Genomic DNA, 25,217 nt, shown 5'->3' on the forward strand with positions numbered 1-25,217 from the left:
AGGGCTTTGTCTCTCAAAGTATCTTAAATGCACCTGAGATATGTGCTCAATGTTCTTGGCATCTTAGAGAATTAAGCATTATTCTCCAGATAGTCTTTAAGAAAAGTTTCCACATATATGCAAACTTAGAAAAGCTCTATCAAAATAAAAAAAGATAAAAATTGAAGAAGCTCTATGTTTTTGATATATTCTGGGACATTAAACAAAAACATTAGGAAAATGTAACCAATAGGAGTTTGGGCTTGCATCTCAGGCCTGTGTTTTAGGGGTTCTGTATGAAGCAGCCAAGATTAAGAGGAAAGGTGATGGCTTTCTTGAATGAGGATAAAAAATATGAAAGAGAACATAAAACTTCAAAATCACTAAAGCAAGGGATTGCCCCACCTCATTTCCACAGATACCCCATAAGCACACAATTTTTACTTTTCATCTTGTAGGATAATGTTCACTTTTTGATGCTCACTCTAAACAGGTAGCATAGAAGGAACAGGTGATTGCCCTTGAGTTTGTTTCTGTTTTGGTTGCACTTTTGAAGCTGTACTTTATTGAACTGAATTTAAATTCCAAATTTCTAAAAATGAGCCTGAGTAGAAAAACATGTTCTTTCATGCTAGGAAAATATTTTTTTGCTTTGATTAATATTTCTTATTTCGAATACATTATGACATGTTGAAAGCAAAAAGTGTCTTTATTGTCTTTTGATTTTTCACAAGCTATAGGCTGTTTCTCAACCATAAGGGCATTAAATAGATATTATTGATAATTATAGATATTCTGACAGTCAGATCTTTGACAGGCAAACATTATTTTCAGAGATGATTAACCAAGAGTAGTAGAGTACAAAGGCTTCTGAGAGCTTTTTTTTTTCTTGACCTACTCATTTATTGAGAAACTATCCAGCTCTTACTCAGTAATAGCATAGATGACTTCATGGGAGTTGGTATAGTCCCTATTGGTCCAGTGAACACATGACCCCAGATTGACCAATCAGAGTATTACATTCTTGTACTTACTGTAATTATTTCAGCGAAAGCCACGTGATGCCAGTCATACAAATCTGTGATCTTTCTAGAATGTGTTTCATAGGTATTAGAACATTATTGGTAAGTAACCATGTGAAGTATTAGTTTTTAAAATCCTTTCTTATTGAAAATTAATATATGCACATGTTAGAAATGCAAAAAGTAAAAAAGAATATCTATTAGAAGTAAGTCTAATTCTATCCTGATCCTATCCTTATCCTTAGAACCAACACTGTGAATTATTTCATATAAATAGTTTTAGAAATGTTCTATAAATTAACAACATATATTTTTAGATGCACAGAAGCGTTCTGTAAGATAATAGGATATTTTCATATAAACACATATAAATATTATATTTTCATGTTAGCACATATAAATCCCCCTCACTGATTTCTAATGGCTATAGATTCCTATTACATGCAAACATACACTCATCCATACCATCACATTTCCTATTGATGGCATTTTAATTTTTCCTTTTACAAAATTGTGAAGGTGAACAATTTCATACATATGTACTTGAACACGCATATAGGCATATTAATAGGAATAAATCCTACATGTGGATTTATACAATAAGAATATTTACATATTAAAACTTAATAGATATTCCCTGTAAAGATTTTGAACCAATTTATTTTCTCACCAATACATTGCCACACAACCATTTTGCTATACCAATACAAATGATTTGGAAAATTCCAAAGGACCTATAGTGCACCTCTCATTCCGTAGATTAGATATAGCAATGTCCCAATAATTCTCTTTTACTCTGCATCCAATATTCATTAAGCTCCCCTGACATCACAAAGTCTGGAGTATATCACATGAAATATATATATTATAAAGCAACTATATTTATGTACTCACATTGATGTCTTCCAAATCTAAATTATTTAGAATAATATTGTTCCTTTTCCAGATAATGGGAGGTCTCAGGGTTCCTTGAATGGCACAGCTCAGAACAGCACTTTGTCCCACAGTTGCTGCAGTGATGCTTAGTTTCTGATCTTCTGGCAGACTCAACTGGATCACTTCTGTAAAGATGAAGTGTCAGTAATGTTGATGAGCATTTAGTTTTGTAAGGCTAATAGTATAAAATTTCTGAATACTAGTAATTAAGGCTTTTAATTTGAATAAAAGGGAAAAAAGCTTGTGATGAAATGAAAAAAGAGAAAATTGTTTCCAATAAAAGGTCAGAATGACATTTCAATTTAATTGATTGACAAGCATCCTCATGAGGCACAGAACTATTAAGCATGAAATGAATATCAGAAGTAGAGTTATAATAAGCCTGGCAGATTGCACCCAAAAGAGAGATAAATTACTTAACTGCCAAATCGACATGTAGTGTGTCATCAGCATTGAAATAAAAATGATGCTGTTTATTCACTGATAGATTTATACTGTAGGTTAGGTGAGATCACTGCTGGCTTGCAGTAGACGGTAAAATGCATCTTTTTGCTGGGAAACCTATTGACTCTGAAGGCATAAGATTTGTTTGGGAAGTTGAAGAAGTAAAAATCTGAAGTTCGCTGACCAAACAGCAATTAAGTAAAATTCCATCAGCTGTCTTTACCAGATCGCACTGGTATTGAATAGTTATTTCATGATTCTTAAAGATACATATCATATTTTAACTAACCAGTGTGCATATTTCTGCTGATAATCTGCCAAAGTACACATTTCTGTCTATTGCTGGACAACATTATTTGAAATCTGCATATGGCTTTCCTTTTTGGTTTTCAGATAATCCTTACCAATTAGGAGAATTATCAACTGTATCATTGTCAATTTTCATGAGAGATGACTAGGATAATGTCTGCCAATTCTGCATCCATGTAAAAACTGACCTTTTGTTTCCTGCTGACATTCACAGACATGAAGTTTTCTACATTATGATTTGAGTCTTGTATTTTGACTTTGCTCACAGTCTTGACCACGTTAGAAATACCACAAACGAAACACCACGAATTCTAACTTAAATGTCGATGTAGAGGAGTGAAATAATTGTCCTCTGTCCCCTTGTTAAGGTTGTGATATTTGTCACTGGGGTTGAGTGAGGAAAGTGGTGTCCTAACTTGTAATAAATATGATCATGTGCAATGGCTGCATTCTTCTTGAGAAAGCCCCCTCCCTCCCTCTCAGCATTCTACCACTTTGTCTCTATTTCTTAATCCTGTCTTCCCCTTGAGATGCTAAACAAGTGAGTTTTATAGAATGCAAATATCCAATAAAGAGTTATTTGGTTTTTGGCATCATCACAAATTGCAATGCCAAACATGGCGTATGTGTTTGGATTAAGGCCTGGATTAAACATATAATTCAACACACACACACGTTAAATGTTGAGTGATCTGTGGTGTTTTCACCACTGGCTGACACCTCATTATCTGATAAAATGAAACAGAAATATACTCACACTCCTATTCTGTTATGTAGCATCTAATCTCTAAACCTAAAGTCACGCTTATTTAAGTTATCATTGTTTTGTGTTGTCCAAAGTGAACAGGAATGCTCTTGAAATTGGAAAATCCTAGTAGAGAAAGGCTCAGCCCAAACTCATTGTTTGGTTTGTTACATCACCCAAAACAGAGACAGTAACCAGTTAGAAATGGATAACAAACATCTTGTCCATTTCTTTGTGTGAAGAGTCTAACCTTGAATCAGATTTATCCATATTCCCATTTATTTCAATGCTTCCTGAGTAATAAGAACATAGGGAAGGCCAGGCACGGTGGCTCACGCCTGTAATTTCAGCATCGGGAGGCAGAGGCAGGCGGATCACTTGAAGTGAGGAGTTCGAGCCTGGCCAACATGGTGAAACCCCATCTCTACTAAAAATAGAAAAAAAAGCCAGGCATTGTGGCTCACGCCTGTAGTCCCTGCTACTCAGGAGGCTGAGGCAGGAGAATCTCTTGAACCCGGGAGGCAGAGGTTGCAGTGAGCCAAGATCATGCCACTGCACTCCAGCCTGTGTGTCGCAGTGAGAATCCGTCTCAAAAAAAAAAAAATAGGGAATATTTTCGGTCTGTTTTAGATTAATATATATTCTGTCATATACATATGACATGTCTCTGTTATATATCACATATGTGTACACATATAAAACCACACATACATACACAGAAACATAAACACACATATACACTCATACAGAGACATGTATATACATAAATAAGTTAAAAATTATTCAATTAATTCGAAACACTAAAAGTTGAAATCTGCATACACAGTGTTCATGTCTTTTTTAATGTTACAAACTTACAGAAAGTGAGAACATTATAAAAGTAATGGCATCATGTACAGTATCACGTAAGAATTATTAATAATTTCCCATTTACATTCCTGAATTTCAGCTTCTGGTTCCTCATTAAATTACAGAGGAGATAATGGGACATCTGGTTCTAAAAACAGCATGTAAACATTGGCTATTCTGCCATTTAGAAATACAATTGCTACTAAGTTACCCTGGAATCTCTTCACTAACCCTTCCGCATCTGTTATTAGGTCCCAGGCCATTTGAATTAGTTGTGCTTTTTATAGTTATATATTACAATGGTAATTAGATAATATAATCATCTTAGAATAAATGCTGAGATTTGGCATAACATTATGTGGGCAATCTTTCTAAAATGTATTTTTTTAGAAGATGTGTAATTAGAATAAAGAATTACTATTCACTAGGAATATTAACATGCACAGAAAAACTTACTTTTTCATGTTATGGCTACATTTTAAAATGACTTCAAATATATTTCGTGGTAATACTTATTATTAAGTAACTATATATTTGATAATTTCTTAGATTTGTTTTCTGCATATTTCATGCTGTATGTTTCACCTCTTCCCTACTATGTTGTATAGAAAAAATACACCAAGCCAATTATGTTCACTGGTTACATCTCAAAATCAAATGGGCTTTTCCTGAAATAAATTTAGCAGCACAATTTATTTTAGCTACAGAATTGCCATGCCCATCTTTATTTGTCTTGTGATAGTTATTAAGAAGCACAGATTAGCACAGATTTAATATTGCAAGTTAAAAATGTTAAACATTTTTATTCTTAAATTATATCAAGAATGTTTCAATGTTGAGTGAAATGCTTATAAAATGCCAAAATTATAAGTTTTATAGATACATGATCATTATTTCTAGAAATGCATTACTATGTAAAACAACAGCTATGAATCAAGCTGTAATCCAATTTAAAAACGATTTTTATATCTATTACTGTAAATTGCCTCTGAGTGTGTGTGTACATTTTAGTGACTACAGTTGCTACTTTAAAAACAAGAATTTTGAAACAAAATATTGAAAACAATCTTTTATTAACTATGGTTAATCCATGTTTTCTTGGATATACATTAATAATGACTTGTTTCATTTTATAGCATCCTATATGCAAACAGCTTATGCTAGTTATGTACAGAAACTATCTTTGCAACAAATAGCACCAATCATTTTATACCCCTCTGCATCCTTTCTGCTCTAATGACCTCAACATGTATCATGTGTCCAGAGTCACCTGGTGCCCTAGCAAAAGGTAAAAACATATAGGCTAAGTGTAACATATGGTACCGAGTGTTTTGACACACTTCAAAAATTCTTTCATCTGTAAACTTTGCCTCCTCTTAGAAGCACTCTCAAGTATTTAACGCAAAATTTTAATGATTTTTTTCTGATCTCACATTATGAGGACTATTACTACCTTTTTAATTCAGCTTTTGTTTTTGATTACTTAGGGAAGTCAAGAGGCAAGTAAAATACTTTCACACTGTGAATCCTTCTCTATGCTTTCTCATTTTTACAACTTGGCTTAGAGAAAAACTAAGAGCTTGCTTTAAAGGAATGAAATATTTGAAGTGTCTGCTAGAAGAATCTGAAGCCAAAGACACAAGTATAGTTTAGTACAACTTGCAGCGTGATTAGTGGGTATTTATGAGGCATTGATTTCAATAGCAACTAGGTCCTACCAGTAATAATATAAATTTGGGTAAAAATATGTCATATTTTTTAAGTTTTATTTTAAGTTCAGGGATACATGTATGGGTTTGTTACATAGGTCAGTGTGTGTCATGGGGATTTGTTGTACAGATTATTTCATTACCCAGGTATTAAGCCTAGTACCCATTAGTTATTTTTCCTGATCCTCTCCTTCCTCCCACCCTCCATGCTCTAATAGGCTCCAGTGTGTGTTGTTCCCATCTATGTGTCCGTGTGTTCTCATCATTTAGCTCCCACTTATAAGTGAGAATATGTGGTATTTGGTCTTCTGTTCCTGCATTAATTCGCTAAGGATTATGGTCTCCAGCTCCATCCATGTCCTGGCAAAGAACATGATCTTGTTCTTTTTTATGGCTTCATAGTATTCCATAGTGTATACGTACCACATTTTGTTTATCCAGTGTATCATTAATGGGGATTTAGGCTGATTCCATGTCTTTGCTATTATGAATAGTGCTGCAATGAACTTTAATTCGTGTGCATGTGTCTTTGTAATAGGATAATTAATATTGTATTGTAATAGGATAATTAATATTGTAATGGGATTTCTGGGTCAATGGGAGTGTAAATTAGTTGAACCATCGTGGAAGACGGTATGGCAATTCCTCAATGACCTCATATTATGTGATTTTAACACATATAGAAAAAACGAAATATTATGAATATTTGTGAAACATTAGTTTAAAAAGGATGATTTTAGGAACTTTGACTAAAGATATCTTTTAAAATCATAAGAAGAGCAAGCTTTTCATAACCAAGATTCTGCTTTTCTAAATATCGACATCTTTGATGTTTCTAACTATAGACTTACGTTAAATATTTCATTAAATCTGTTTAAACACTAGACTCATAATCTTATTATCCTCATCATGCCTATCATTTCCATTATAGGAATGAAGCCTAGAATAAATTTTATCAGTAATGTTTCCTAATAATGGGTATTTTACCTCTCTCTACTTCAGTAAAGAAATTGCTAATTAAATGCAGATAGTAATACAATATTAAGCCAGAAATAGATCAAAAAAAGAAAATCACTTAGAAACTGTAAATGGAATAAATTAGTTATTCTCATATAAGATAACCACAATTACTTAATAACAAGGTTTTTAACTAACAAGGAAATTCTGATGGCATATTTTGTCAGGAAATAGGTGATTTCAAAATAAATGGTAATGCTTACATAATTTAGACATGCCAAGATATTCATAAATTTATTATGATGAAATGCTTAGAATCTTCGAGACTAAATGTCTACCTGTTAAATATTATAGCTTTTATTATAATTGGTCTTATAAAATTAAAACAAAATTTAAAAGATCTAGAAACTTTGTTTTGGTAACAATGGACTGGATAAATTGGACTAATACATTCACAGAAGTGACACCACAGCAAACAAACACATAAACAGCATGAACTAAATACAAATCATTTATTCTTAAAAGCATTAGAGAAATATCAGAATAATGAGGAACTGCCCAGTCTATATTCTGAAGAGAACTGTAACTCAGAGATGAGATTACACCTGGAATTGCACATTCTGTTGAGGATTTTTTTTCATTTTGAAGCGATAACAGCAATACTTAGATGTTCTTATGTGGCTTATTGTTTTCCAGGCATAAGGGATAGGGAAAATAATGGAGTGTGTCCATCTCTGTGCTAAGACTTTAAGGTGCCACGATCTGAAACTGAATATATGGACTGCAGCACGCTGTTACCTAGATGTCTTAAACAAAATCTCTCTGGAGTAAGTTAATATCATTATATTCATCCAATCCTTGTTATAAACAATTTTGTATTTACAATACCCAGAAAACCATAACTATGATATGGCCCACCAAAAGAGAAGACAGCATGATGAGAAGGAGCAGAAATAACACATAACACTAAAAATAATCCAATAAGATTGTAAGATGTATTATGTTTATGAAAATAAAATTCCAGGTTAGACATTTTTACCATAAATAATAGAACTATAAACATTACAAGTTTGTGAAAAATCAAGTAGAAATTATAAAAGTAAAAGCTATACTAACTGAAATTAATAATTAAATGTATGTACTTAAGGTCAGATTAGACACAGCAAAAAAGAGAAATAGTAAGCTAGAAAAGAGATTAAATGAAACTTTACTGAATAAAAAGCAAAACCAGATACGGTTAATGAAACCAGGGTTCTTTTGAATCCCAGAATGAGAAAACAGAAAAAAATGGAGGAGAAGTAATATTTGAACAAATAGCAGCTGACAGGTTTCCATAAATGTAAAAGACACCAATCAATAGATTGAAGAAGCACATCAAATTTCAAGCAAAGCGAACAAAAAACTAGGCTAATTCACACTGAGTCACTGTATTAGTCCATTTTCACGCTGATGATAAAGACATACCTGAGACTGGAAAGAAAAAGAGGCTTAATTGGACTTACAGTTCCACAGATTCTGAGGCTGGGGAGACCTCAGCAGAATCACGGCAGGAGGTGAAAGGCACTTCTTACATGGCAGCAGAAGGAGAAAAATAAGGAAGAAGCAAAGGGACACCCCTGATAAACCCATCAGATCTCGTGAGACTTACTCACTATCAAGAGAATAACACAGGAAAGACCGGCCCCCATGACTCAGTTACCTTCCCCTGGGTCCCTCCTACAACACATGAGAATTCCGGGAGATAGGATTCAAGATGAGATTTGGGTAGGGACACAGCCAAATCATATCATTCCTCCTCTGGACTCTCCAAATCTCATGTCCTCGCATTTCAAAACCAATCATGCCTTCCCAACAGTCCCCCAAAGTCTTATTTCAGTATTAACCCAAAAGTCCACAGTCCAAAGTCTCATCTGAGACAAGGCAAGTCCCTTTCTCCTATGAGCCTTTAAAATCAAAACAAGCTAGTTACTTTCTAGATACAATGTGGATGCAGGTATTGGGTAAATGGAGCCATTCCAAAAGGGAGATATTGGCCAAAACAAAGGGGTTACATGGCCCATAAAAGTCCAAAATCCAGGGGGCCAGTCACATTTTAAAGCTCCAAAATGATCTCCTTTGACTCCAGGTCTCACTTCCAGGTTATCTGATGCAAGAAGTGGGATCCCATGGTCTTGGTCAGCTCAGCCCCTGTGGCATTGCAGGGTACAGCCTCCCTCCCAGCTGCTTTCACAGGCTGGTATTGAATGTCTGTGGCTTTTCTAGGTGCATGTTGCAAGCTGTCAGTGGAGCTACCATTCTGAGGTCTGGAGAACAGTGACCCTCTTCCTACAGCTCCACTAGGCAGTGGCCCAGTAGAGACTCTGTGTGGGGGCTCCAACCCCACATTTTCCTTCCACAGTGCCCTAGCAGAAGTTCTCCATGAGGGCCCTGCCCCTGCAGCAAACTTATGCCTGGGCATCCAGGCATTTCCACACAGCCTTTAAAATCTAGGCAGAGGTTCCCCAATCCCAATTCCTGACTTCTGTGCACCCACGGGCTCAACACCACGTGGAAACTGCCAAGGCTTGTGGCTTCCACTCTCTGAATCCACAGCCCAAGCTGTACATTGGCCCCTTTCAGCCACAGCTGGAGCCGGTGAGACACAGAGCAACAAGTCCCTAGGCTGCTCAAAGCACAGAGTCCCAGGGCCTGGCACAGGAAACCACCTGTTCCTCCTGGGCCTCTGGCCCTGTGATGGGACGGGCTGCGGTGAAGGTCTCTGACACGGCCTGAAGACATTTTCCCAATTGTCTTTGGGAAAAACATTATGCTCCCTGCTACTTATGCAAATTTCTGCAGCTGGCTTGAATTTCTCCCCAGAAAATGGATCTTTCTTTTCTATCGCATAGTCAGGCTGCAAATTTTCCAAATTGTATGCTCAGTTTCCCTTTTAAAATGGAATATTTTAGTAGCACCCAAATCACCTTTTGAATGTTTTGCTGCATAGAAATTTCTTCTGCCAGATTTTCTAAATCATCTCTCCCAAGTTCAAAGTTTCACAAATCTCTAGGGCAGGGTCAAAATGCTGCCAGTCTCTTTGCTAAAACATAACAAGAGTCACCTTTTTTCCAGTTCCCAACAAGTTCCTCATCTCCATCTGAGACCACCTCAGCCTGGACGTTATTGTTCATATCACCATCAGCATTTTTGTCAAAGCCATTTAATAAGTCTCTAGGAGGTTCCAAACTTTCTCACATTTTTCTGTCTTTGTCTGAGACCTCCAAACTGTTCTAAACTCTGCCTGATACCCAGTGCAAGTCACTTCCACATTTTCAGGTGTCTTTTCAGCAATGCCCCATTCTACTGGTACCAATTTACTGTATTAGTTAGTTTTCATGCTGCTGATAAAGATGTAACTGATACTGGGAATAAAAAGAAGTTTAACTGGACTTACAATTCCACATGTCTGGGGAGGCCTCAGAATCATTGTGGGAGGTGAAAGGCAGTTCTTACATGGCAGCGCAAGAGAAAATGAGGAAGAAGCAAAAGCGGAAACCCCAGACAAACCCGTCAGATCTCATGAGACCTATTCACTATCACGAGAATAACACGGGAAAGACCGGCCCCCGTGATTCAATTACCTCCCCCTGGGTCCCTCCCACAACACATGGGAATTCTGGGAGATACAATTAAAGTTGAGATTTGGGTGCAGACCCAGCTAAACCATGTCAGTCACTTAACAATGAAATTAAAGAAAATTAGGAACACTCAATTTACCAATGTAACAAACCTGCACATATACGCCTGAACCTAAAGTAAAAGTTTTGTTTTGTTTTTGTTTTTGTTTTTTAAAGAATATCAAAGACAGAGAGAAATCTTTTTTTTGTTGTTTTATTTTGAGACAGAGTCTCACTCCTTCACCCAGGCTGGAGTACAGTGGCACCATCTCAGCTCACTGCAAGCTCCGCCTCCCAGGTTCACGCCATTCTCCTCCCTCAGCCTCCCCAGACTACAGGCGCCCGCTACCTCGCCTGGCTAATTTTTTGTATTTTTAGTAGAGATGGGGTTTCACCGTGTTAGCCAGGATGGTCTCGATCTCCTGACCTCGTGATCTCCCCGCCTCGGCCTCCCAAAGTGCTGGGATTACAGGCGTGAGCCACCGCGCCCGGCCCAGAGAGAAATCTTAAAATTTTGCAAATTAAAAGATACAGCCTGCCTATATGGTGAGGAGAGTTAGACACATAACTGATTTCATCAGCAAAAGTAGAAACAAGAAAGCAGTAAGATGATATATTGGAAATTATGCAACAAAATAAAAACTGATCTTAGAATTTTATAGAAATACACAAATATTATAATAAAATTAACATATTTACAAAAAACAGAAGAATGAACATGCATGCCTAGGAAACTTGCCTTGAAGTAAATTCTAAAAATGTTCTTCAGACAGAAGAAAAATGATTCTAGATGAACACTCACAGATGCAAGGAGTGGACAGCAAAAAAATAAAAAAGAAGATGAAGAAGAAGAAGAAGAAAAAGCATTTAAATATGAATGTTAAAGTTTAACAGTAAACTTTGATAGTTCAAGAAGGCCAGATAATATAAAATAATATTTCCATAACATTGGGTAGAGAAAGATTTTGTTAACAAGACACAAATGAATTCTCCATAAAGAAAGTGACTTATAACTTTGACAACATTAAAATTTAAAATATCTATTCCTCAAAAGATATTGTTAAAAGACCAAAAACACAAGTCACCAAGCGGAAGATAATTGCCACCCACAAAACTGACAAAAATCTTATATTTCAAATAAATTATTCTACACATCACTAAGAAAAATTTAAACAACTCATTAACAAAACAATCAAGAAATCAATAAAAGACTTGAAAAAGTGCTTTATGAATTAGTCTATATGGCTAAGAAAAATCTGAAAATTGCTGAACTATCTATGCAATTAGGAAAATGAAAATTTAAGCCAAAACCCTTCAAATTGGCTTGAATTTAAAAGTCTAATGAGAATAACTGTTGAGAAAAATACAAAGCAACATAAATTCTTATATAACATGAACAAGAGTGTAAATGTATACATAAACTTGCTCCATTAGTAAAGGAAGCCTCATCTAGCAAACTTTTCTGGTCAACCCATTTCCAAGGACCAAGTTAGCCATATCCCTTGTAGAAGCTTAGAGTTATGACATAGAAAAGGCGGAGAGTTTAGCTGTTATAAAGCGATAACAGAAGTAAGAACACATAATTTTTTAAGACACCTTTAATATACAGGACAGAGAAGAAAAGAGAAGACCCCTATATGGGGAGAGAACAGTATGATAACAAATAGGATAAAATAATCTGGAGTTTATTCTGAGGAAAAGGGGCCAGTAGAAAGAAAAGTTCTGAATATAAAATTGAGAAAATAATTATTTCTGCCAAAAGTTCTGAAAGTAATTAGGAGAACTTATAATCACAAATACAAATAAAAGCATTTAGCTACTAGGGCAAAATGGTAGTTTCTTCCTATGCTGTTAGTGAGATTGAGAAGTTATAGAAATATATGAGTAAAAGACTTTTCAATGAAAGTCTTTCTGTAAAACAACGCAGAAAAAATTCTTGTGCAGAATTGAAATATTGTTTTTTATTCTCATTATATTCTTTTTGTATACTAAAGACAGTACAATACTACAGACAAAACTATATTTTTATATTAATTCAAGCAGTTTTACATATTGACAATAGTGAATCTCATTTTATTTTTTAATTCATGACTTTGACATTCTTTTAGTGGTCTTATAAATGTACAATTATCTTTCAAGGGTTCTGTTAACTTTCATTTAATTTCTATCTTTCAAATGAATTATATAAAGTTGAATTTTAAACTAAAATAATAAAGGTTGAGTCTATTTATTCAGTGATATGTGTGACACACACAACTTGGAAAACAATTCTTTTTTATGCAGAATAGTTTCCATGTGAAGCCTGACCTAACAAAAACTGTACTAACAGAAAGAATTGGGTGGCCACTCAAAGTAGTCAAGTTAATATTAACTGTATGACTTTGAAAAATTCAAGAATGCAGATAACAGAATGACTTTAACATTCTAAGTACATTCTAAGTACATTGTAGGTAACATTATAATGTTGGAATAGTAAGGTATTGACATTGCAAGACTTGTTATATTAAGTTTAAAATCTCATTACAAGTGAGTTACTCCTTGTAGGACATAGGTAAAAGAAAATAATTGTGAGTATTAACTGAATACATATCATTTGCTAAGGATTTTTCAAAGTATTTGATTCATTTAACTTTCCCAACTGCCCTGTGAAGTACATACTGATTCTGATTTTTATTTTTATTTTTCTACCTGTTTATTTATCTCATGTGAGGAAGAGATAATTAAAGCTTTATTAGCCATCTTGTGATCATGAATGGGAACATTCTCAACACATTAGAGATGAAAAATGCAAAGATGGAAGGACTTCAAGTCCTTCATTTAATAGGTGAGAAGGGAGAAAACAATCATTTTAAAAAGATTCAGGCATTGAATACATATATTAACAAAGATGAAAGATTGGAAATCAATCATCTAAGCTTTCACTTTAGGAAATTAAATAAAAAGAGCAAATTAAATCCAAAGTATGCAGGGTAAAAGAAAGAATGAAAATTAGAACATGAAAAAAATAAAATTGAAAACAAAAAATCAATACAGAAAATCAATGAAAACAAAAGTTGGTTATCTGAAAGATAAAACCAATAAGCCTCAAACCAGAGTAACTCAGAAGAAAGACACTAGGCAAAATTACCAATATCAGAAATAAAATACAGTATTATTACAGATCCCATAGACATTTAAAGGATAATAAAAGTTACACAAAAAATTCTGTGCCCACAAATTTGATAACCTAGGTTAAATGGACCAATTCTTTGTAAGTCACAATCTGCTAAAACTCATTTAAGTAGAAACAGGCAATCTGAATAGGTTTATACTTATGAAAGAAATCACATTACTTATTAATCACCTTCCCAACAGAAACTATCAGGCCCAGATGGATTCACTGATGAATTCTACCAAACATTTAAGGGAGAAATTGTATCAATCCCCTACAATCTCTTTCACAAGATAGCAGAAGAAATACTTTCTAACTCATTCTCTGAGACCATTATTACCCTAATGCCAAAACCAGACAATAGCATTACAAGAAAAGAAAGCTGCATAAAAATATCTCTTCTAGGCATAGATGCAAAAATTCTCAACAAAATATTAGCTAATAGAATCCAACAACATATGAAAATGATTATACACTATGACACGTTGGTGTTTGTCTCAGGTATGCAAGAATGAGTCAACATTTAAAAATCAATTAAATGTACTCATCACATCAACAAGATAAGAGGAAAACAAAACGTGCAAGATTTATATAAAAAATTTTAAAACTTGGATGAATTTATTAAAGAAGTAAATAAAGAGGCTGGGCGCGGTGGCTCACGCCTGTAATCCCAGCACTTTGGGAGGCTGAGGTGGGTGGATCACCTGAGGTCAGGAGTTCAAGACCAGCCTGGTCAACATGGTGAAACCCCGTCTCTACTAAAAATACAAAAATTAGCCGGGTGTGGTGGTGCGTACCTATAATCCCAGCTGCTCAGGAGGCCGAGGCAGAAGAATTGCTTGAATCCAGGAGGCAGAGGTTGCAGTGAACTGAGATTCCGCCACGGCCCTCCAGCCTGGGTGACAGAGTGAGACTCTGTCTCAAAAAAAAAAAAAAAATAAAATAAAATAAAAGAAAAAGAAAAATAAATAAATAAATAGATAATCCATGCTCATGAAAACAAAAACTCAGTATTATCAAGATATCAGTTTTTCTCCACTCCATCTTTAAATTTAATGCAATCCCAGTCAAAATTCCAGCAAGTCATTTTGTGGATATCAACAAATGAATCCTGAGGTGTCTAGAGAGGCAAAAGATCAAGATGAACCAATGTTGAAGGAGAAAAACAGTATTAGAAGACTGATACTACCTGACTTCAAGAGTTGCTACAAAGCTACAATAATCAAGGCAGTGTGGCACTGGTGAAATAATAGACAAATAGATCAATGGGGCAGAATAGAGAGGCCAGAAATAGAACCAAATAAATATAGTGAACTGATCTCTGACAAAGAGAAATGACAATGCAAGGTAGAAAAGTAAAATTTTAAACAAATTGTTCTGAAACAAATGGACATTCACATTTAAAAAAAAATGACACTAGACAGAAGCCCTACACATTCAGAGAAACTAACTAAAAGTACATCACAGACTTAAATATAAAACAAAAAACTATAAAAATCCTAGATGATAATTGGAGAAAACTAAATGACCTCAGGTTTGGTGATGACCATATTTTACATTCAAAAAATAATATTGGTTTATTTTTCATAGATACTAATTAATAACAAGAGGAAAACCAAGACCATTTATAAACCTTAGGTAAGATAGATCATAAGGTGTTTATACTTTGGTTATATTATTACATAGAAATTAAGTGTCCTTAAGGCTGTATTTAAATATATGTACACAAGAAAAAAAGACATCAAACATAATGATGAGCACTCTTTTACTTACAAAAATATCAACTAAATGTTAAAAAACGTCAGGTATTTTTTCCTGTATGATTTATTGGTGTAAATACTATGTTTGATTTGAAAAAAAAGACATTATATTCTAAATTTGTGAAATATTGAATGCATGAAATGCAGAATTAACTTACCATCTTTAATATATTTTTAAAGTTTTGGTATTTTCACTTACTAACGAAATTCAGTGTGGTAGATTGGGAAGAGAAATTGCATATACATATGAAGGAAGGTATCTAATCAGAAGAGTTCACAGCGAATTTTCATTTGTCAGACAGGATAAAGCAATCAGTTAATCAATACCCATTTCCTATATGTTAACAAATGTGTTCAGTGCCATGTTGAAAAGCTATTACAGATATAAGAGAAGAATATTAACCTGTGTGCATTTCTTCAACTTACCTCAAGGAAACCCCAGGACATTAATGTTGGAGTCGATCAAATGACACATTATTTGCTCTGTCTTTAATAAACTGAACATTTTTCACTATGTTTTAGATTACAGTCAGTCAGAGCTAAATTAATGAACTAATCCCTCCATGTGGTGTAATAGAATTTGGGCCTTATAGACTAAAACAGACTTTAATATTGTTTGCCTAATTAAAACAATTCAGCTAAAAGAGATTGCTATTTGCCTAATAACAAACTGCTACTACTGATAAAACTGAAACTAGGATCCAGAGAATTTGCCTTCACTACGAAGTTTTACAGTGAGTGTCCCTTTAGGAGCTTGCAGCAAACAGATGTAAAATACGGGGAATTGAACACTGGCTGTTCATTTTGGCAATTCTTCACAGGGTCCAAAGACTGGGCCTTAACTATGCAAATCTAGAAACAAATTTAACAATTCATCCAGAATTAATTAGGCTACTGGGGATTAACTCAGCTAATCAAAATCACAGGATACCTTTGTTTATTCTGGAATATCAATTTATTCATTTACAATGGGAAAAGCATCAGGTTTAGTAAGGAATGTCAGCTGTGAGCCTGGGAATCTTCTTTCTAATGCACAGGTCAAAAGCTTCACAACACTGATGAACAGAAAATTACAAAAAAGAGAGTTGGCTATTCTCAAGGCAGTCCAGCTCTAATCAGCTAATGAATTGCCCTTTTCAACTCTAAAGACATTTCTGTCTAGAGAGACTTTCTTTTCTTGTCACTTTCAAGTTTATTGACAAATTCTTAGCTCCTTTTTTTACATTGTGCATATCACCACACGTGTGCAACTAGAGCACTAACTCAGGTAGATTGCAGAAGAGTTAAGTATATTAGAACCTTCTTTACATCAGCAAATGTTCCCATGGACCTAGGCTTGGCAAACTATGCCCCTGGACCAAATCTGTTCTGCCACCTGTTTTTGAAAATAAAGTTGTGTTGGAACACAGCCATACCCGTTTCTTACTGTTATTGCCTCTGTTGCTGTCTATGACTGCGTTCAGCTCTATATATGCGGAGCTGAGCAGTTGCCGCTAAGACCTACGGTATGCAAAGCCTAAAATATTTCTTCTCCGAGTTTTTACGAAAAGTTGCCTATTCATTGAAACATTACTTTGCTGCTTTTACGTTCCTTAGACACATGTAAGTTTTAAAAATATGATCTGTTTATTTCTGCTCATTCTCTTGGTTCAGAACATTAAACCTAAGATAATTAGAGAGTGCATGAAAATTGCTCTCATTTAGATATGAGTGAGTTCATAAACTACTCCACCACTTAAAAAAAAAATCTTTGAGCCTTCTGCAAATAATGACACAGGATGAATTTCTACAACTGTAACAGTTGCTATACCCAGAATCCAAAACAACATGAAAGTAAGTCCTGTTTGTCTTGTCCAAATGGAATTTCTAGTCCGTGACAGTAGCATCCTACCAGGTCTGACTTCCTAAGTCTGGCATGTAGAAGAACTATCATTCCTTCTCTCTTCTTAACATCCGATCAAAATACGAATTCCCAGGGCACATTCTCAGCCAGAAGGAAAGCAATCTGATTATCCCATGTGAATCATTCACAGTACTAATCTGTGAACAAGTTTGATTCTCCAAGAGAGTATTTACATTTTAATAGGGAACATTTTAATTCAAATGTATCTTTAACCAGTAAACTGCTTACACAGAAATGCTTTTGAGAAGGAAACCTACCAAGTAATTATTGTCAACTCTTTGCCACGACTTTCTCTCCAAGAAATCAGAGGGACCTAGATCTGACCAAGACTTCCTAAGTATTTCCCTCTGCCTGACTCAACTTCAGACAGGTTTGCTCCTCTGACCTCCCAGAGTATTTAGTTTACAAAGTTTGCAATTATAAATACTTTCTGTGCCCCTTTAACATATAAATCTTCACCCAGCCTCTTGACAGTTTACGACCCAAGAATATCTTTCTCAAAGTGCTGAGAGTCAACAAGGAAGACAACGCCCCATCTCAGTCTGTGTGAGAGCACAGGAGCCTAACTTCATTAAGTGCCAATTAACAAACACAATTAGAAATGAGCTTTTTGCTTTTGTTTTTTTGTAGGAAGAATGGCCAAATTTTGCATTTCTCCAACATTCATTTCATTCATGCTTAAGAGAGAGTTTACAAAGTATTAATGAGATGACCAGTAACATTTACTTATGGTTTATAATTCTAGAGATATATAGAATTGAAGAAAAATACAAATTATCCTCTCTTTATTTTCACCTGTCCCAAAGTAAAAAGCCATAAACATAAAATTTTCTCTCGATTTTATCTAAGAAATTAAAAAAAAAAAACCCAAAAATCTAAAAAAAAAAAGTAAGGTGTTTATTGATTTTAAGTAATTTTTTAAATTAGAAACTGAACATTTCTTAAGCCTACAATTGTTGCCATACAGTGATCATTTTATATCACTTATAAAGCCAGGAATACATCTTTTCTACAAATGAATAGACTTTTAATTACTCTAAATATGTACTTCTCATACCATCATCTAGACATAATTTTTTTAAAATATCACTGCCTTGAAACTGCAGGTCTTTAAATGTCCTATGCAGTACAGTACAATTGGAAGATTTCCATGAAATTAAATGCTATACAAATGCCTGAGAACTCAGGTTTTGGGCAATTTATCTTTATCATTAAAACAAAGAAGACATGTGAACAATTATACAGTTAACTCAGTGGGAAAAATGCTCTGTACGTTTATTGCTAAAAATAATGTACTGGATTTAAATTACAGGGTTTGAAAATATATTTATATAAATTATAATGCACATGATTCCGCCTGTACCTATTTCAGATTTTCTATGGGACATTTGATTATTTAGAAGAGGAGTTCAGTACAATAAATTTGGGCATCGACATTTTGTGGCATTTTTTTACATGTAAAAGTTTTCAAACTTTTATGTTAATTCAATAGTTGCAGTAAGTTACTCAGTTTTGTAAATATTTTACTATGGTAATATATCCTGCTCATTTGAAGTAATTTTATGAACTGTATTTATTAGAAAAATTAAATACATTTCTTCCTTAAATAAGCTACTGAGACAAATCCAAAATGATTTCAGTAATCCTTGAGTAACAAAAATCTAAACTAATTATAGCATCTTGTGAAAAACAAATCAAACAGTTATTTTCGGTTAAGTAGACAAAAGAATGAGTACAACTCACATGCAGATCCATTCTAGCCTCTGACACTATATTAATTTCTTTTTGTAATAAATAAATGTTAACAAAGTATAGTTCTAGTGTCAAATGTCACTATTTTTATATTTAAGCCTGAGTTTATTATTAATTTTGTGATATGAAGTACATAATTTATTTTACCAGACAGAATTTGTTTACATTTTTAAATGATTATTTTTAAGGATATATTTTTATATTCATATTAAATTATTAGTAATACAAATGCTTAAAATTTGTTTTAAATGTTACAGTGCATGTAGAATTAACAGGATATTTCAATATAAATTCAAAAAATGTCAATAAAAAAGCATTCAAAACTTTGTAATCTGTCTCATTTAAAATTAAGGCCATTTTAAGACATAATCAAACACTTTATTACATATAAAATTGTTAATAAGAGTGACTTTATTTGGGCTAGGTACTATTCAGCATACCATTAAAGGAAACAGAAGGGTTACTGCAAAATAAAAACAATATAGATTTTCACTATTAATAGAAGTGTTTTTAAAAACATATTTTGATAATATACTTAAAAACGTATTTTAGTAAGAAGCTTTAAAAGCACAGATATACAGATATATAAACATATTAAAAGCACAAATATATACACATATATGTGTAAGAAGCTAAAATTTAATGTTTTAAAGAATTTACATTGTAATTAAAAGAAAATATTTGCCAAGAAAGCCTAAATGGGAAAGAATAGAAATGAGGGGGAAAAAAAGGGAAGATTTGATACAGCAGATTCAGTGCAAGTTATGTACAGAATAAAAGACGGAAAAATGTCTTGTGGAGAATCACATCACCCATTGGTTTCTTTTCCTCATTGCTGCCCTGGTCTTTGATGTGAAACATACTAAAAATAATACATTGTCTGCATCACTTTTATATTTACATCCCTTCTTGGCAGAAAGAAGAAAAACACTCCAAGACTCAACAGTCAGAACTGCATAGTATATCAACGTATTTTGGATGTTCTCCAGTCCCACTGAGGCATGACGCTGCAGTCATATGGCTATGTCACACTGCAAAGTGTCTCCCTCACGGGCTTGTTTGATTGGGACATTGCACATTTAAGAGGTACGTAGTGACCATGCTAGGAGTTAAGGTCTGTAACTTAACATTTTATCAGGAAAAATGTAACAAAGGCTGTCAGTGTGCAGTAGGCACAAAGAGAAATGAAGAAGATGCTTTTCAGTCAAGACATACCCTACTCTGTTTAGCAGAGAGTTGCATCTAAATTCTGTCTCCGAGAGAACTCTCCTGGGCTTTCCTGTGCAGTGTTGCCACACTTCGGGGGCTCCACTGGGGATGGAGAACCTCTCTTCCACATAGAGGTCTTATGGATCAGTATCTGAGATTGGCTTTATAATCTGAATTGACTCAATTGAGATATCAGTTACAAAACTAATAGCATACCAATAGACATAAAGGCAAAAAACAAGAATATAGATAAAGCAGGATAGTTTATAAGCATTTCAATTCACCAGATAGGTATGACTCTAATAGGAATCCTTTGAATCACTTCAATAAAAACTAAAAAACGTAACAATTGATCAGTGATTATTTAACTACTTACTCTCATTAAGAAACGTCACACAAAACTATGTGACAACATATTTCACTAGTGTTATTCTTTCTATAAAAATGATAAATACATTTGTTATTTTATCTTTGAATTTGGGCTATAAAAACTGTAACATCATATTTTCTACTAATAAATGCATATCAGCTTATATTCTATTTATTTTCAAAATCATAATAGAAATGAACACACATAACACAATATTTATCTAAAACTGCTTAATTATCAATTTAATATTATATAACTCATATATTAAGTTCACCATTTTGTTAATATAACAACCTGAGAACCTACTGAGTTCAGAGAAATTATCTTTATATAATTCATTTTTTATTTATCAAAATTCTCAGTAATTTTAAAAAACAGAGAATTACTGTATTATCATGAAAACATAAATTTGGATGCATTAATTTCCTCAGGAGTTCAAATTTTAAAATTCTAGTTAGACAAGAAACTATATTTTTCTCCTGAAGGCATGCTTTATAATTAGATTTTAATAAATTACTAAGAAGTACTTCTGTAATGTGCTTTAAAGGAAATTGTTTTTTTACTTAAACCTGGAACCATAATATAATTTATGCTAATGAGACGCTATCTGATAGAAATTTTCTAAAAATTGTTAATGTATATCTTATATGGATAATAAAAGTCATATTTTTGTAGAAAAAGAAATATTACAAAAGATGTACTAGATTTTAACTGCATGAATTATTATTATAAATGAGATATTACCTTGCAATGTGGCATATTACCCAATATAAACTAATTTGTATGATACAATTGTAGGAAACGAATCACATCAGATAAGTGCAAGCTGGTTTCTGGTATAATTCTGAATTTGAATTCTGTCACTTGCTAGCTACAGAATGTTAGTTTCATCATCTGGAAAGTAAAGGTAATGGTAATAGCTATATCATAGAAACCTTGATTAATTAACATAAAATGTTTAGTAGGCATTCCACAAACAAAAGTTATGAATATGATTAAACTACCAAACATTACCAATCCAAGTAATTCCAATCTTATGGTATGATACCTTATTTGCTTAAAACAAACTTAAATGCCCATCAATGATAGACTGGATAGAGAAAATGTGGCACATATACACCACGAAATACTATGCAGTCAAAAAAAAGGATGAGTTTATGTTCTTTGCAGGGACATGGATGAAGCCAGAAGCCATCATTCTCAGCAAACTGACAAAAGAACAGAAAATCAAACACCGCATGTTCTCACTCATAAGTGGGAGTTGAACAATGAGAACACATGGACACAGGGAGGGGAACATCACACACCGGGGCCTGTCGGGAGGTGAGGGACTAGGGGAGGGATAGCATTAGGAGAAATACCTAATGTGGATGATAGGTTGATGGGTGCAGCAAACTACCATGACACGTGTATACCTATGTTAACAAACCTGCACGTTCTGCATATGTATCCCAGAACTTAAAGTATAATAAATTTTTAAAAAATAATAAAGTAAATAAATTAAAGACTCCTAAAAAAACAAACTTACAATTATTCGCTTCACTATTTGGAAAATACATACACGCACACACACACACACACACACACATACACACAGAGTAATATACAAAAATAATTGCTTTCCTTGAGGTCAATGTAGTTTTTAAGATTATTTTCAGGTTTTCCAAGAATATCAATAACCATACATCAATTCATTCATGTTTTATTCCACATATTAATTTCAACATTAGACATTTAAAATACTTTTTAATATTTAAACTATATTAAGTTAGCCATATTTTAAAACACATTTAAAATAAACTGTTAAAAATAACAATATATTTTTACTGAATGAATCTATATGTACAATTCCCCTTTCTTTCTTCATGTGCAATGCAATTTTATAAATATTAAAACATCTCTTAAATTAAATGATTGACCCCAATTTAGGGAATTTATATGTAACTGACACTGCATTTTGATCATAAAATTACAAAATGCTCTTTTGAAACTACAGAATTTTTTTTTTGAGAAATGTTTGGTCATTTATAGCATTTAATTTGCATATATTTCCAAATAAAGAAAGAATACAATGAGACAGAAAGAGAGCCCGAGAGAGAGAGAGGGAATGAGTCAGAGAGAGGCAGATAGAAACAAAGAGAAAGAAGTTAGAAGAGTAAAACAAAACAGGAATAAATAAAGCATGGCATCTCAGGGAAAAATGCATAATCTAAGATTGAAATCAATAGGTACCACTTTATAATATGCTGTTTTTATTCCTTTTTAATGGCCATAATTTAATTAACAAGTATTGAATGTCTGCCTGTTTGTGTGTATCACACATTTGGAAATCTTATTCCTTCTCTTCATGATCGTATTAGTAGTATTGGAAAATCACAGCACAAAAAAATATTAGCTACAAAGTTTCGAGGATATCAATACTAAACTCTGGCCCATGTTGCTTCTGTGTGAGAACCGAAAGAGTGTTCCTCTTCTCTAAAGAGCTGACATTACAGTTTGCACTTTAGTTTTCTCAACACTAAGAAGACTGCAATTAAAATGTACTCTTTAGGAATTTTCAAGTATATAATATATTGTTATTAACTACAATTATGTTGTAAAATAAATAGATCTTTCAAACTTATTTTGCTGTCTAACTAAAATTGTGTTTTTTTGACTAACACCTCCCCAGTCTCACCACAAATAATGTGAATTAATGCATATATCTATTAGCTTCATTTTGCCGTTCCACAATGTATACATAGTCTAAATATTATGCCACACACCATAGATATATATATTTTATTTGTCAATTAAAACATATGAATTAATTAAAAATATTAACCCCTCAAAAGAAGACTGCAATGGAATGATGAAAAAATAATAAACAAAAACTTCACTTTTCATAAGCAGGTTGGTAAATATACATATCTGTGATGAATGCAATAATATATTATACATGTAAATATGTATATTCTATGATATATTTTTATGTGGCATATATGATACTTACTATATAATATGTAAATGTACAAACACATATGTGTGTATGTGTATATATACAGCCCCCACACTTGGAAATAAACCCCAGTGATCAAGCTCACAGAGTCCACACTTATAGAAAACAATTAAATTAATTAAAGGTGTGCTTTTTCCCTCATCAGGAAAAACAGAATAGTGTCAAAATTTTTTTGACATTTTTGCTTAGAGAAATGAGACAAAAGAAGAGTGAAATAATCTTTTTGGTTTTTAAGGCCTACATTCTTTCAAGTTTTGTTTTCAGCATTACTGCTGCTGTTGATAATAGAACCTACACAAATACATTACTGAAAATATAGAAAAAGAATATTACAATTAAAAGAGTCAAGTTGGATTTCAGATGGAGCTCTATCATCACTTTTGATCAACAGAAAGAAGAATATGCATTTATCACAGCTGCAGATATATTTTCAAAATAAACTGCAAACTCAGTGAAGGTGGAAAAAGTTTCAGCATGATGAAAAGTGAGAAATGGGAAAGCAGCAATACAGGATGAGATTTAATTTAGATAAATGTAAGGCAATACACAGAAGGAATGCCAAAAGAAAGAAAGAAGTTGAAGAGTATTGTTAAGAGAACATCATTTGGAGATTTACTGTAGATTATTTTGGGAGAGAATTTTGATACCTGAGAGTGAAGTAAATGCTAAATAAAACATTAGTTCTAGCACATGAAGGGGTATTAATGTCTTTTTATCTATATACGTAGGGTCCATTTTTATCAAATGGCGATATCATTAAAAACAAACAATGGTAAGTATAATAGCAAAAATGTATTAAACACTATGTATGTGCTAGATATATTAAATTCTTTATCTTAGTATTGAACACTTTAGTAAATACTGTAGCAAGTACTCTTATTATCCCTATTTTATTGATGGAGAATTAGATTTTAAAGATCTTAAGTAATTTTTCAAGATTGTAAAATTATAAAGAGGAGATCATGGATGATGCAAAATTGGAAAACTTATAGGATAAAACTTAAAGAAGAAGAAATAAAATAAATATTGCAAAAGCATTGGAAATTAATATATAGGAATAAATAGTTTCATTGAAACATAATGTTCACAAATGACAATGATAGCTAACATACATTGAGTATCTACTATAAGCTACATACTGTTTTTTCATGCGTTGCAGGTTTTGACTTATTTAATAATCAAAAATGATATGAATTAAGATTATTATTCTACTTTAATATTAGGGAATCTGAAGCAGGAAAAAAAAGTATGTAACTTACCTAAGGTCACATAACTATTAAGTGGTAAAGCTGGGATTTAAATTCCACACTTGCCACTCCAGCCGCATGAACATGTGCTAGTTATTCCTACACTATGTTGGCTCTTGTATTGGAAAAGGGGGAAAAATACAGTAGAATACAAGTATAGAAATAATACAAAAACAGAATTATTGAAAACATGTGCTTGGTACACAGTATAATTGTTAATA

The 25,217-nt window shown here is 33.2% G+C and overlaps 1 protein-coding gene across 4 annotated transcripts in view; it reads right to left on the reverse strand.

Moving 5' to 3' along the window:
* Positions 1 to 25,217, reverse strand: part of FSTL5 (follistatin like 5) — a 780,104-nt gene that overhangs the window by 270,536 nt on the left and 484,351 nt on the right. For all 4 annotated transcript variants that reach the window (NM_001128428.3, NM_001128427.3, XM_011532126.1 and 1 more), the window contains exon 7: positions 1,896 to 2,062. In NM_001128428.3, the coding sequence (NP_001121900.1) occupies positions 1,896 to 2,062 (167 nt within the window). The remainder of the gene's footprint in view (positions 1 to 1,895; positions 2,063 to 25,217) is intronic.

The sequence above is a fragment of the Homo sapiens genome, chromosome 4, assembly GCF_000001405.40.
Source record: "Homo sapiens chromosome 4, GRCh38.p14 Primary Assembly".
NCBI lineage: Eukaryota > Metazoa > Chordata > Mammalia > Primates > Hominidae > Homo > Homo sapiens.